Genomic DNA, 15,806 nt, shown 5'->3' with positions numbered 1-15,806 from the left:
AACCCTTTCTCTACTAAAAATTTAAAAATTAGCCAGGCGTGGTGGTGGGTGCCTGTAATCACAGCTACTCGGGAGGCTGAGGCAGGAGAATCGCTTGAACCCAACCCAGGAGGTGGAGGTTGCAGTGAGCTGAGATCATACCACTGCACTTCTGCCCGGGTGACAGAGCAAGACTCCGTCTTGAAAAAACAAAAAAAAAAAAACAGTGTCTGGAGACATTGTTGGTTGTCACAGCTGGGTGGGTGCTAGTGGCATCTGGTGGGTAGAGGCCAGAGACGCTGCTAAACATCCTAGAGTGCACACAGGACGGCTCCCCCCGCAGAGAATGACCCTGCACAGCATGTCAGCCGTGCCTGCTGAGAAACCTGCCATAGACAAACCCAGCCCATTGCTGGCTGCCACGGTGGTCAGGACGGCCCAACAGCACCAAGACCGTCCCTAACTCTCGGTGGGCAGGACCTGAACTAGGGAGGTGGAGAAGGCTCACTGCCAAGCTCACCACTGTCCCTGATGCCTTCCAGGGAACTCTGGTGATATTCCAGTAGGATTTCCTTGGAAACATCCTCCTGCTCTGCAAACACTGGAGATTGCATGAGGAGCAGATGGCTGAGCCCTGAGCATGTGACAGCCAGCGCTGGGAACTCAGTGGGACAAAAGGTCACACTGGGGCATCAAGGTGACCAAGTCCTGGACCTGCTGTCTTTCCTCCATTCTGCCTTCTTTTTGGTTTCTGTATGAGTCCGTTCTCACACTGCTCTAAAGAAATACCTGACACTGGGTAATTTATAAAGGAAAGAGGTTTAATTGACTCACAGTTCCACATGGCTGGGGAGGCCTCATGAGACTTACAATCATGGCAGAAAGCAAGAGAGAAGCAAAGGCATGTCTTACATGGCAGCAGGCAAGAGAGAGTGAATGAGCGAAGGAGGAAGAGGCCCTTATAAAACCATCAGATCATCTGAGAACTCACTCACTATCTCGGGAACGGTATAGGGGAACCGCTGCCATGACCCAATCACCTCCCACCAGGTCCCCCCTTCAACACATGGGAATTATGGGGATCACAATTGGAGATGAGACTTGGGTGGGAACATAGAGCCAAACTAAATCACTAAATCAGTCTCTTTCTTTCTTTTCCTTTTTTTTTTTTTTTTTTTTTTTTTGAGACGTAGTCTTGCTCTGTCACCCAGGCTGGAATGCAGTGGTGTGATCTTGGCTCACTGCAACCTCTGCCTCCTGGGTTCAAGCAATTCTGCCTCAGCCTCCCTAGTAGCTAGGATTATAGGCGCCTGCCACCATGCCTAGCTAATTTTTGTATTTTTAGTACAGATGGGGTTTCGCCACGTTGGCCAGGCTGGTCTTGAACTCCTGACCTCAGGTGATCCGCCCGCATCAGCCTCCCAAAGTGCTGGGATTACAGGCATGAGCCACTGCACCCAGCCTCTTTTCTCTTCTGTTTTCTTTCTCTCTCTTTTCTTTCTCTCTCCTTTCTTTCCTTCCTTTTTTTTCCTTCCTTCATTTTCCTTCCTTCTTTCTTTCTTTTTTGACACAGGGTCTCTCTCTGGAGTGCAGTGGTGCCATCACAGCTCCCTGCAGCCTTGACCTCCCAGGCTCAAGCAATCCTCCCACCTCAGCCTCCCAAATAGCTGGGACTACAGGCATATGCCACCATGGCCGGCTAATTTTTTTGTATTTTTTTGGTAGCGACAAAGTCTCCCTATGTTGCCCAGGTTGGTCTTGAACTCCTGGGCTCAAATGATCCTCCCACCTTGGCCTTCCAAAGTGCTGTGATTACAGGCATGAGCCACTGCACCTGGCCTTGCTGGTTCTTTAAGAGCCCCAGCTAGGACACTTGGAGACGAATGGGTCTTGCCTTTTTACCTCAGCTGGCTAACACTACAATGCCCCTTAGATTGAGAGATGTTCACTACATATTTTGAGAGACAGAAAAACCAATATTCTTTAGTTTGTTTTTTTTATTTTGGGTTTTTTGTTTTGGGCTTTTGTTTTGTTTTTTGTTTTTTTCTTGAGACGCAGTTTCGGTCTTGTCACCCAGGCTGGAGTGCAGTGGCACAATCTCGGCTCACTGCAACCTCCGCCTCCCAGGTTCAATCAATTCTCCTGCCTCAGCCTCCTGAGCAGCTGGGATTACAGGCGCCTGCCACCACGCCTGGCTAATTTTTGTATTTTTAGTAGAGGGGGTTTCGCCATGTTGGCCAGGCTGGTCTCGAATTCCTGACCTCAGGTGATGCACCTGTCTCAGTCTCCCAAACTGCTGGGATTATGGGCATGAGCCACCATGCCCAGCCTGTTTGTTTTTTGAGAGAGGGTCTCTTGTTCTGTCACCTAGGCTGGAGTGCAGTGCTGCAATCTTGGCTCGCTACAACCTCCACATCCTGGGCTCAAGCGATTCTTCCACCTCAGTCTCATAAGTAGCTGAGACTGCAGGCTCGCGCCACCATGTCTGGCTACCAGGTTCTATTTAGTTTTTTTTAAAATAAAAATCTGCATGCCTCTTTCAAATCTGTAGTGGGAATCAGACCCCGCACAGGAAATGTCCATCAACTCCAGGGGCCCGGAAATGGCACTGGCCAAAAACACACGCCTGGCAGAGCCGAGCTGGTTTCCGGAAGAATGTGTCAGCAAAGCATCCCCACTTTTCTCCAGCTTGCATTTTCTCTTCAGCTTTCTCTTACGCTTTTCCAAACCACACAGCTTCTTGGGAGGCATGTTGAAGTGTTTAAAAATGAAGCAATAAAAATAAATCACTTGTTCTCGGAAGACAGCCGGCTGGTTATTTAGCTGCATGTTTCAGCGGACTAAATGCTGACACAGGGCTGTTCCTCGGGCACCCAGGCAGCTGTGCCGCAGACAGGGTGCCTCAGAAAAGACTCTTGTCATGTCCACCAAAGGACATTCTGCTCCCTGTGGTGGCCAAAAACCCCTTCACGCTGGGGCTACACAATGTGATGTTAGCACTGTGTTTTTTTTATTCCTGGGTTATTTCCACACTCCTTTTTTTTTTCTTTTGGAGACAGTTTCGCGCTTGTTGCCCAGGCTTGAGTGCAATGGTGTGATCTCCGCTCACTGCAACCTCCGCCTCCCAGGTTCGAGTGATTCTCCTGTCTCAGCCTCCCAAGTAGCTGAGATTACAGGTGCCCATCACCACACCCAGCTAATTTTTTGTAGAGAGGAGTTTTCACCATGTTGGCCAGGCTGGCCTCGAACTCCTAACCTCAGGTGATGCACCCGCTTTGGCCTCCCAGAGTACTGGGATTACGGGCATGAGCCACCACGCCTGGCCACCACACTCCTCATAATTGTCTAATTGTCCCAGGCAGCCACCCAGCCGGCCCTGGCCCTCCCTGGTGATCTGCTGGGGCTCCTCTCACCACCCCGATGCCCTTCCCACCCTAGACCCAGCATCAGTTCCCTAAAGGGTTTCTCCAGAGTTTCAAAGAGCTGGCCATAAGCTTTGTCATGCAGACACTGAATCTAGAGGACCATTTAGGACTCATTAAAAGCTCGACCTCACTCCTTACACAAAACCCACCAGATGCATCAGAGATTTCAGTGTAAAAAAATAAAGCCATGAAGGCCGGGTGCGGTGGCTCACGCCTGTAATCCCAGCACTTTGGGAGGCCGAGGCAGGAGGATCACTTGAGTTCGAGACCAGCCTGGCCAACGCAGTGAAACCCTGTCTCTACTAAAGATACAAAAATTAGCTGGGCATCATGGCACGTGCCTGTAATCCCAGCTACTTGGGAGGCTGAGGCACGACAATCACTTGAACTCGGAGGGGAAGGTTGCAGTGAGCCGAGATGGCACCACTGCACTCCAGCCTTGAGTGAGACTCTGCCTCTAAACAAAATAAAAATAAAATTTTAAAAAGCCATGAAAGTACGAGAAAAAAAGGTAGGAGGAGAATTAAACATGCAAAAGTCGTTTCCAAGCTGATACAAAACCCAGAGGCTACTGAGAAAGAGAATACCTTTGACCTCATAAATATTACGACTTTCATTGCAGCAGGTGGGGTTGAGGGGAGGAAGTCAAAGTCAAATGAGAAAAGGCAGCTGTTTCCCATCTCACTCAGAACTCAAGCCAAAAAGCTGGTGTCCTTACCAAGACCCATAAGGCCTTGCAGGACCTGACCGGCCCCCCACACCCGCCAAGTCCCGCTGACCTCATCCCTGTATTTGTCAGAATGAACTCATTTTTGCTGACCTCATCCCTCTATTTGTCAGAATGAACTCATTTTTGCTGACCTCATCCCTGTATTTGTCAGAATGAACTCATTTTGCTGACCTCATCCCTGTATTTGTCAGAATGAACTCATTTTTGCAGTGGTGACAAATAAGCCCTGATGTCTCCAAGACACGATACACTACAGATTTACTTCTCGCTCACGCTAAGTCCAGAGCGAGCCAGGCAGCTCCCCAGAGCAGCAGCGGCTCCACGCGGTGACTCACCCATCCAGGCTGCCACAATCTTGTTTCAACAAACTCAATGCGTGGCCTCCAGCCATCATCAAGAAGCAGAAGGCAGGCCAGGCATCGCTCACCTGTTCCTCATGCCTCTGCCCAGGAGTGGCCCACGTTCCTTCCCGTCGTGGGGGCCTGGGCCAACTGCGCGGTGCCGCCTGTCTGTAGCGGGGCCGGTTATGGGGGTGGCCATGAATTATTTGGTGAATGTGCCTCCCTCTCCCGCAGCTCACTCGCCCGGCTACACTGACTCTGGTGCTTTATCTTGAACACCCTGAACTCCTGTCTCATGGCCTTTAAATTAGCTCTTCTCTCTTTCTGGAATGTTCTTCTCCAGGGAATCTGCTTGGCTGGTTCCCTTACCTCCCTCAGTGTAATTCAACAGAAAAGCATCAAAGAATGTAATTAGAACATGGGCAAGAGATATGAAATATTTTACCAAAAAGGATATACGGATGGCAAATAAGCACGTGAAAAGACGTTCAATATCGTGAGCCATTAGGGAAATTCACATTACGACTACAATAAGATATCACTGCGTTAACTATCAGAACGGCTGAAACAAAAAATGGTGGCAACACCAAATGCTAATGAGGATGCAGAGAAATAAGATCACGCACACACTGCTGGCGGGAACAGTACAGTTACTCTGGAAAACAGTCTGGCAGTTTCTTTTCTTTTTTTGAGACGGGATCCCACTTTGTTACCCAGGCTGGGGTGCAGTGGTGTGATGTCGGCTTATTGCAACCTTGACCTCCTGGGCTCAAGTGATCCTCCCACCTCAGCCTCCTAAGTAGCCGGGACCACAGGCACATGCCACCATGCCTGACTAATTTTCTGTATTTTTAGTAAAGATGGGATTTCACCATGTTGCCCAGGCTGGTCTCAAACTCCTGAGCTCATGTGACCCTCCTGCCTTGGCCTCCCAAAGTGCTGGGATTACAAGCGTGAGCCACTGCGCCAGGACAGCAGTTTCTTATCAAACAAAACACGCAACTAACTACCACATGACACGGCGGCTATTGTACTGCCTGGAAAAACGAAAGTTTACGTCCACATAAAAATCAGTACACCTGCCTCAGAAGGAGCAGGCATCAAAAAAAAATTGGGACTGGGCACAGTGGCTCATGCCTGTAATCCCAGCACTTTGGGAGGCCAAGGCAGGTGGATCACTTGAGGTCAGGAGTTCGAGACCAGCCTGGCCAACATGGCGAAACCCCGGTCTCTACTAAAAATACAAAAATTGGCTGGGCGTGGTGCTGCACACTTGTAATCCCAGCTACTCGGGTGGCTGAAGCAGGAGAATCACTTGAACCTGGAAAGCGGAGGTTGCAGTGAGCTGAGATCACGTCACTGCACTCCAGCCTGGGCAACAGAGTGATACTCTGTCTCAATAAATAAATAAATAATAAGACTGGTGGATTGTCCCAACATTGATAGCCTGGTTGTGGTAGCGAATTATAATTTTGCAAGATGTTGCCATTGGCGGAAAATGAGTAAAGGGTCAAAGGAATTTCTCAGTGTGATTTCTTGCAATTGCATGTGGATCTACAATTATCTCCATCAAAATTTTAATTAAAAAACAGACACAAGGGCTGGGCGTGGTGGCTCACACCTGTAATCCCAGCACTTTGGGAGGCTGAGGTGGGCGGATCACCTGAGGTCAGGAGTTCGAGACCAGCCTGGCCAACATGGTGAAAACCCATCTCTATTAAAAATACCAAAAAAATTAGCCGGGCATTGTGGCCAGTGCCTGTAATCCCAGCTACTCGGGAGGCTGAGGCAGGAGAATAATCGCTTGAACCTGGGAGGCGGAGGTTGCAGTGAGCCGAGATGGCGCCACTGCACTCCAGCCTGGGCAACAAGAGCGAAACTCCGTCTCAAACAAACAAACAAACAAAATAGACACAAGGCTTTTCCTTCATTATTGTGAAACCCAATTCAATTGCTTCATTTTGGTTTTGCTGTTTAAAAAAATAAAATAAATTAAAATAAATAAACCAGGGTGGCATTACTAGCAAACTTGTAATCACACAGAATCCACTTTGGCTGGAAGACCCGGCTTCTGTGCAAACACTCTGGAGTCCTGTCTTCATTGACTCTGGATCTTGTGGCAAGAGAAGGTGCACAACACCGTCACCATCTGAGCACAGGGAAACACGGCCCATCTCCTCAGCTAAGTCCTAATTAGCTTAGTCCTGTGGTCGTAAAACCAAATTCCACAGGAGTGGAGAATGTCAAGAGGGGGCCGTGCACAGAATTACAATAGGTCCCTGTCCTTGCTCTTCTTGCATAGCTCAGATGTTCTCTATTTTGCTTTCAAAAGCAAAGGGCCTTCCATCCCTTCCATCCATTGCTCTCTCCATAGAGTCAGCAAAGATCAGTAGTTCATAAACTAGGAGCACAGCAGCATGTGGGTCCTTCACTCATCTACACCCTGAAAATGTTCTTGAAAAGTTCTCAAGCAAGAAGCCAACTGCTCCTCTTCCTGCGGCCCCAGCAAATCTCAGCAGGCCCCAAAGGCTGGAACCAGACAAGCGGGCCCATACATCCCCATGTCCTAGAGCAGGAACCTGGGCCACCCCTGCAGGAATCCCTGAGGATCAGGAAATCGGTTCACCAGCGTGGCTCGTCATCCAACCCCACTACAGACAGGTTTTAGATCAGTGACATTCCCAGAAGTATTTCCCCTCCATTCCCAGATCACCTGCTGTATTAGTCCATTTCCACACTGCCATAAAGATACTACCCGAGACTAGGTAATTTATCAGCCAGGGAGGTTTAATTGACTCACAGTTCCACATGGCTGGGGAGACCTCAGGAAACTTACACTCACGGCAGAAGGGGAAGCAGACGCCTTCTTCGCAAGGCAGCAGGAGAGAAAGAGAAGGAATAGGAAGGGAGAAGAGCCCCTTATAAAACCATCAGACCTCGTGAGAACCCACTCACTATCACGAGAACAGCACTGGGGAAGCTGCCTCCATGATCCAATCACCTCCCTCCCTCCACATGTGGGGATTACAATTCAAGATGAGATTTGGGTGGGGACACAGAGCCAAACCAGATCACCTGGCTCACCCAGACCTGGGACCTGGATGCCCCCTCACTTCTCAGTGTCAGGCTACTCCTCCATAAGCAGGCATCCAAGGACCCTCAAGGACCGTCGGTGGCTCCCTCCCTCCTTCCATCAAGCCTTCACCGGGTGGTTGGCCCCAAGGCCCCCATCCATGGCCCCTGCCTGCTGCTGTCTTCTGGGTTCCCTGTGCTTGCCTTCAGGGAGCTCCCAGCCTTCTGGCCATGAGCCTCGAAGTCCGGGGCTGTCTCCTCCCTCGGGGTCCTGGAAGTATCTTTCTTGCACCTGCCCCCTCCCAGGCAGGCACCTCTGAAGTCCCCCCAGTTGGGGTCCCTCGTGCTCCTAGGGCTCCTCTCCAATCCACTGCCTGCTGGGGGAGGGATGCATCCGGGGGCCTGGTCCACGGAGCCAGGCCACCGTGAAGGCCCATCTCACCTGGCACAGGCCTGGTGGACACCGGCTGGCCGCAGCATCACCGAGCCTTCCAGAGGCAGGGTGCCGTCCCCACAGGCCGGCCCGGGCAGCATCTGCTGCTTCCCGCTGTGGCCAGCAGGCAAAAGAATCCCTCCCTGAGTCCCAGGAAGGGAGGGAAAGTCCAGACTAGCACTGAGACACTGAGGGCTTTGGGGCGGGCAGGAGCATGTAGGGGAGAGGCCGACGCCAATCCCCCGACTCTCTGCATGGCTCACCGCTTCCCTGCTGTGTCTCCCAGAAGCAGCCATCACTGTCTGCTCCAGAACGTTCCTCTCCATCTTACTCCGCGAGGGCAGGGAAATTGGACAGTCTATTTGCTGTCACGTCCCCGTACCCACAGTGGGAGAAGCCAAGAGGAGCTGGGGCCTCACCTGGCTGGGATGGGCCTGCCAGGAATGCTGCTGGCTGGTTCCTTGTCCCAGCTGTGGGCACATTCCCAGTCCTCCGGTCGGGCTCTGTGGCGAGTCCTGAGGAGCACCCCATCCTCTGGGTCCCGGGTGGGAAGATAAAACAGAGGTCAGCAGAGCAGGGCCTGGGGCCGGACTGGATCCTGTTCTCCATTTTGTTGGCTGAAACTGTGGGCAAATTTCCCCAACCCCTCTGAGCCTCAGTTTCCCCATCTGTGCAGTGGGGACAGTAGGACTGACCCTGCAGGGATGGGTGGGGACTAAAATGGTGGGGGTGAGGCACTGAGCTCAGCATACGGCCAGAGGGAGGGCTCCGGGGCACTCCTGGGCTGGGTTATCCAATCAGAACTGCGGGAGGGCTGGGTGCGGTGCCTCACACCTGTAATCTCGGCACTTTAGAGGCCAAGGCCAGTGGATCACCTGAGGTCCGGAGTTCGAGACCAGCCTGGCCAACATGGTGAAACCCCGTCTCTACTAAAAATACAAAATTAGCCGAGCGTGGTGGCACATGCCTGTAGTCTCAGCTACTCGGGAAGCTGAGATAGGAGAATCGCTTGAACCCAGGAAGCGGAGGCTGCAGTGAGCCAAGACTGCGCCATTGCACTCCAGCCTGGGCGAGACAGGTAGAGACTCTGTCTCAAAAAAAAAAAAAAAAAAAAAGCTCTGGCCTGTGAATGCAGCCTGAGAAGCCTGGACTAGAAGCAGTTCAGCTTCCTTCCACATCCCAGGCGCCCACCCATGCTGTGGTAGGACCTGCCCTTCTCGCGGGGGAAGGGAGGCCCTTCTGACCTCCACCTTCCATGCACCAGCACCTTCTGTGTGTCCAGCACAGCTCGAGGGCCCGGTCACACAGAGGTAGGAAGGAGAAGGAGACAGACGTGGGACAAGTCAGTTCCATGAACATCACAGGGCCGGGCACGGTGGCTTGTGTCTGTGCCTTTTGGGAGGCCGAAGCGGGAGGATCGCTTGAGCCTAGGAATTTGAGACCAGCCTGGGCAACATGGTTAGACCCCATCACTACAAGAGATAAAAAATAAAATAAATCATCGCAGCGTTGCACAAAAGTCTGTGCAGGGGACAAGGGGGACAGGAAGGGAGGCTGGCCAAGCCCCCACAAATGTCTTCAGGGAAGAGCTTCCTGAGTTCTCCTTCTCCAGGGGCGGGAGCGTCCCAGGCAGACGAAACAGCGGAAGCACAGCACTGGAGGCCTGGCCTGGGCGGGAAGGGGAGGAGAGCGGCATGGCCACTCAGGGACCTGCATGGAGGTCCCACTGCCATGTGACACTCAGCAAGCTCAGATCCTTTTACAAATAATCAGCCACTTCTAGGAGAGAGATTAGTCCAGATTCCCCGGGAGCTTTTGACTTTCAGAGTCAACAAAGGATAAATTAATGCATCACTCTCTGCTCCTTCTGAGAACACGTGTCTAACCAGACCAGCTGCACCTTTGAGGCTGGGATCAGAGGGAGCAGCTGAGGGCCCAGAGTGAGCCCGAATGAGTGACTCTGGGAGCCGGGCGAGACGGGGCAGCAGGGAGGGCGCCCGCCACCCATTGTGACCCTCTGGCCTTCCCGTCCAGCCTCTTCCCACACTGTGTGCCCCCCGAGCCCTCCTTGCTCTGGGGATGGCAGAGAGGCTGAAGCCAGGAGGCTCTCAGGTATGTCATGAGTCAACCCAGACAGAAACAGAAAACGAAGGAGACAGGAGCAGGTGGGAGGGAGGGAAGAACTGGAGGGCCATGGGGAGGCTCAGGACAGGGGTGGCCCTAGCCCATCACTGGGCACTTCACTGAGACACCACACGAGGGCTTCGCCAGCTGCCCCTGTCCCCCCAGGGCAGAGAATGTGGGCAGCCCAGGCAAAGCTGTCCTGATGCCTACACCCTCAGCGCCCAGCCCTTCCAGCCATGCCACAGGAGGCTCATCCAACGGTGCGGAGAGAAGCGGGGAACAGGCCACAACTCACTGAAGGTCTCCAGAGCCTTCTCCCCACCAGCCGCAGAGCCTTCTGGAAGCATTCGGTTCATGTGCTCCTCTGATGCTGCCAGAGCTAGGGGCTGGCACCTCCTGCAGGGAACAATCAGACAGCATGCGGCTGGAGGGGCGGATGCCAGGCCTACGAAAGCAGCAGCCCTCCAGGAAGCGGAGCCCCGTGACCAGCCTGTCCCACGCCCCAATAGTCGGCTAACTGCTCCTCCTCTCCTACAGAGCCTCCCCGGCACAGCTCACAATGGCAATCAGGGCACAGATTCTTCCAGGAACTCCACAGGTACCAGACACTGCCCCATCGGGGACGCAGAGGGTGAGCACAGCCCCCAGCACAGCCTCACACCGATGCCCGTGGCAGGGGGTGAGAGGAGGCGGCGCCCTCCCTTCAAGGAAGAGCTTGTTCAATCTTCCCCCAGATTCTAGGTTCTGGGAGAGCAGAGGGCAGGGCTGGCTGGGGCAGGACTCAGGGATTACCTGTCGTCCAGCTTGGCCACTGACCGTGACACTGGGCAGGTCCCCTTCTTTCCCACCCCACAGGGCAGGGCTCGGGGGCTCTGAGGAAGGGAGGAGGGCCACCTTCTCCACTGGGCCCATGATCCTTTAGGTGTCCACAAAAATGTTTTAATTTTATTTTCCTTTTTTTTTTTTTTTTTTTTTTGGAGACAGAGCCTCACTCTGTCACCCAGGCTGGTGTGCAGTGGCACGATCTCGGCTCACTGCAACCTCTGCCTCCCAGGTTCAATTGATTCTTGTGCCTCAGCCTCCCAAGTAGCTGGTATTATAGGCGCCCACCACCACACCCAGCTAATCTTTGTGTTTTTAGTAGAGATGGGGTTTCACCATGTTAGTCAGGCTGGTCTCGAACCCCTGGGCTCAAGCGATCTGCCTGCCTCAGCCTCCTACAGTGCTGGGATTACAGGAGTGAGCCACTGCAACCGGTTGGGATAAGCCTATTGATGGGAAGAAAAACCCCAAACACACACATACACACACACATACGAACCAAGGAGAGATGATTCCAGATTAACCCATTTTTTGTAGAAGTCAAAGGTTTTGCAGTTCCAGGATTTTGGAGCACATCTCCTATAGAAACAGAACAACAGGGTGTATGTACATGTGTGTAGAGAGACAGAGAATCACACACACAGAGATGACAAGGATTCGGCTCATGTGATTGCAGAGGTTAAGTCCCAAGATCTGCTGCAGTCGGCAAGCTGGAGGCCCAGGAGAGCGGACCACAGGGTTCCAGTCTGAGGCTTGAGGCCCAAGAAGAGCCAGCATTCAAGTTCCAAGGCAGGAAAAAGCCAGTGTCCCAGTCTGAAGGCAGGCAGTCCGGAGAATTCTCTTCCTCGGGGGAGGGTGAGGCTTTTTGTTCTATGCAGGCCTTCAACTGACTGGATGAGGCCCCCCCACACTAGGGAGCACAGTCTACTCCTCTCAGTCCACTGATTTAAATGTTAAACTCACCCACAGACACCCAGAATAATGTCTGACCACACATCTGGGAACCCCGTGGCCCAGTCAAGCTGACACATAAAAGTACCCAGGTAAGGCTGGGCGCAGTGGCTCAAGCCTGTAATCCCAGCACTTTGGGAGGCCGAGATGGGTGGATCACCTGAGGTCAGGAGTTTGAGACCAGCCTGGCCAACATGGTGAAACCCCTCTCTACTAAAAATATACAAAATTAGCCGGGAGTGGTGGCAGGTGACTGTAATCCCAGATACTCAAGAGGCTGAGGCAGGAGAATCACTTGAACCCAGGAAGCAGAGGTTGCAGTGAGCCAAGATCGCGCCATTTCACTCCAGCCTGGGAGACAAGAGTGAAACTCCATATCAAGAAAAAACAAACGAACCAACAACCCACACACAAAAAAAGGGACCCGGGTAGGACTCCAGTGGACATGAGGGCTGGAGGGTCTCCCCTCGTGGCTCTGACTCCAAGGGCAGAGCTGAAGGGGGCAAAGGCTGTCACTGCCCCAAGCTCTGAGAGCTTCAGCCAGGTTACAAGAGACACAGGATAGTGCCAGAGGAGGAGTGACTCTTGGCAGAGCCAGGACTACCTCCAGGGGCCTCCGCCTTAGGGGGCTGTTGCTTGGCTTCACTCTTGGGTGTAAACTGGCTGATATGGTTTGGATCCATGTCCCCACCCAAATCTCATTTTGAATTGTAATCCCCAGTGTTGAAGGTGGGGCCTGGTGGGAGGTGACTGGATTATGCAGGTGGCATTCTCATGAATGGCTTAGCACCATCTAATATGGTTTGGCTGTGTCCCCACCCAAATCTCATAATCCCCACCCGTGGTGAGAGGGACCCAGTGGGAGGCAATTGGATCATGGAGGCAGTTCCCCCATGCTGTTCTCATGATATTGAGTTAGTTCTCATGAGATCTGATGGTTTTATAAGGGGCTTTCCCCACTTTCATTCTGTACTTCTCCTTCCTGCTGCCATGTGGAGAAGGACATGTGTTTGCTTCCCCTTCTGCCATGGTTGTAAGTTTCCTGAGGCCTCCCAAGCCATGCTGAACTGGGACTCAATTAAGCCTTTTCTGTTTATAAGTTACCCAGTCTTGGGTATGTCCTTATTAGCAGAATGAGGATGGACTAATGCACCATCCTCCCTTGGTACTGTATAGTGAGTGAGTTACCAAAAGATCTGGTTGTTAAAAAGTGTGTGGCAGGCTGGATGCGGTGGCTCACGCCTGTAATCCCAGCACTTTGAGAGGCTGAGGCGGGCAGATCACGAGGTCAGGAGATCGAGACCATCATGGCTAATATGGTGAAATCCCGTTCTCTACTAAAAATACAAAAAAATTAGCCGGGTGTGGTGGCACCCACCTGTAGTCCCAGCTACTCGGGAGGCTGAGGCAGGAGAGTTGCTTAAACCCAGGAGGCGGAGGTTGCAGTGAGCCGAGATTGCACCACTGCACTCCAGTCTGGGTGACAGAACAAGACTCCATCTCAAAAAAAAAAAAGTGTGTGGCAACCTTCCCCTGGCTGTGTCTTGCTCCTGCTCCTGCCATATCAGAAGCCTGTTCCCGCTCTACCTTCCACATGAGTGAAAGCTCCCCGAGGCCTCCCCAGAAACAGATGCCGCCATGCTTCCAGTAGCCTGCAGAACCGTGAGCCAATGAAACCCGTTTTCTTTATAAATTACCCAGGCTCAGGTATTTCTTTATAGCAATGCGAGAGCAGACTAATACACCGCCCTGGCAAAGTGGAAAGGACAGGCAGGGCTTGGCAGCCAGACAAGGACTTAACTTTCAACTTGGGACTGAACATTCACCCAACGGAAACGAGATGGCTCTGCAGATGGAGCTGGAAGGGTCCCCCTTCTCTCTGCACCCCGTTCTCTCCTTCAGGAGTTGCACCGGCCTCTTGCCCCTCACTGGTTCTCAGCTCAGAGAGGGCAGGCAGCAGGTTTTTCTCTCCCTCGTGTCTCTAATCGGACATAAAGTGGCTGGGGACAGTGCAAAGAGACTCAGTAAGGGCTCATGATGATTTGTCACTGTCAAAACTGGGTCCTGGTGACAGTTTCTTAAGCCCAAAGGCAAGGTCGGAGTGGGAAATAGTCTGGTTGCTTCTATTTGAAGGCAGGACAGGTCACAGACAGTACACCACAGGGGACAGAGCTTTAATTGGAACAACCTCAGATTCTCTCCTGGGGAACAGAAGCGACCAGGAACACGGAAGCTGCTGCCCTCGGCACAGCCGGCACGCACATCGGACCAGACACGAGCTAGTGCAGGACATGTCCTCAATGGCACCTGTGCCACAGGTCACAGCAGCCCCGTGATTTGGATAGAAGACGACCTGAGTTCCTAATAACCAGTGTTAACTTTTCTTCAAGGCAAGCTAACCTGTCTAAAGCCATTAACCAAAAACAAAAAACAACCAAACAATAATAAACCTTTTTATTGTAAAGTAAACACGGAAATGCACACAAGCGCACAGAGGACCCCAGGAGCCAGGACTGCCCCGACCCCACACCACACCACAGCCTCTGCCCAGGGAGGAGCCGCTTTCCGGCTGCTGTGATGATCGCTTCCTCGTGTTTTAAAACTTACAATAGATCTGCTCCAAGAAAAAGAAAGGAATTGGGTGGGACATTTCCTACAAATTAAAGAGACTGAGCCTTCTGTTCGGGCGGGGTGGTTCACGCCTGTAATCCCAACACTTTGGGAGGCCGACGCGGGCGCATCATTTGAGGTCAGGGGTTCGAGACCAGCCTGGCCAACATAGTGAAGGTCCGTCTTTACCAAAACCACACAAAAAATAGCTGGACATGGTGGCGTATGCCTGTAGTCCCAGCTACTCAGAAGGCTGAGGCAGGAGAATCACTTCAACTCAGGAGGCAGAGGTTGCAGTAAGCCGAGATCGCACCACTGCACTCCAGCCTGGGCGACAGAGCAAGATTCCATCTCAACAACAACAAAAAAAAGATAAAGAGCCTGAGCCTTCTGACTTCAGTTTCCCACAGTACAGTTCAACAGGTTCCTTGGTCTCTATTTCTTGCAAATTGGCAGCTGGATTCAGAGACTGGATCTATTCAGTCTGGATAACAAAACTCTGGCAAGACTGTAGATCTCTAGGAGACACAGGACATCTGCTTGTCTTTTGTGTGTGTGATGTTAGCAGCTGATGCTTAATATTTCTATCTATTTATTCATCAGGATTACAGAATGATGTTATTCTATCATTTTTATAGTTAGTGAAAGTTGAAATACTTTTATAGATACTCATCTTCATCTATCGTGCATTTAGGAAAGGCTGGGATAAATGCTTGCTTCTTATTTACCAGTTTTCAAAATAAATGGTTCCCTATCATCCAAAATTATGTTATATATTAAAATTATGAACTCATGAATCTTAACATTCAATGGCGTCCTGCAATTATTATTATAGGACAATAATAATTGGGACAAGTTGAACTTGTCTCGTTTCTGGCCAGTGAAGGCCTCTTTGAGTCTGCTGAGTCCTTTTGACATGACCCTATTTTTTATTTTTCGAGATGGTCTCTGTCACCCAGGCTGGAGTGCAGTGGCACAATCTTGGCTCACTGCAACCTCCAGCTTCCAGGTTCAAGTGATTCTCCTGCCTCAGCCTCCCATGTAGCTGGGATTACAGGTGCCTGCCACCACGCCTGGCTAATTTTGTATTTTTAGTAGAGACAGAGTTTCACCATGTGGGCCAGGCTGGTCTCGAACTTCTGGGCTCAAGCAATCTGCCACGTTTGCCTCCATGAGCCACTGTGCCCACCCCCTAATAGTCTTTGATCGCTTTTTTCCCAAGTGATACATGACAAGACGTCCCAGGCTCATCTGGCCCATTTCCTGTCCCAGACTTGGAATGAGTCATTTTAACAGGAACGCCTGGGTTCAATCGGGAT

At 51.8% G+C, this 15,806-nt stretch overlaps 2 annotated features.

The window, feature by feature from the left end:
• Nucleotides 2,470–2,764: an enhancer, noted in NCBI's record as "tiled region #14112; K562 Activating non-DNase unmatched - State 7:EnhWF". NCBI's record gives its function as "activates a minimal TATA promoter and a strong SV40 promoter by Sharpr-MPRA in K562 cells {active_cell/tissue: K562}" and the evidence as "EXISTENCE:reporter gene assay evidence [ECO:0000049][PMID:27701403]".
• Nucleotides 3,889–5,088: an enhancer, noted in NCBI's record as "BRD4-independent group 4 enhancer chr17:75229305-75230504 (GRCh37/hg19 assembly coordinates)". NCBI's record gives its function as "activates an origin of replication core promoter dependent on BRD2, P300/CBP, MED14 and CDK7 cofactors, and independent of BRD4, by STARR-seq in HCT116 cells {active_cell/tissue: HCT116}" and the evidence as "EXISTENCE:reporter gene assay evidence [ECO:0000049][PMID:35650434]".

The sequence above is a fragment of the Homo sapiens genome, chromosome 17 (assembly GCF_000001405.40).
Source record: "Homo sapiens chromosome 17, GRCh38.p14 Primary Assembly".
Taxonomy (NCBI): Eukaryota; Metazoa; Chordata; class Mammalia; order Primates; family Hominidae; genus Homo; species Homo sapiens.
Note: the sequence above shows the minus strand (reverse complement) of the source record. Positions and strands in the feature narration are given on the sequence as shown.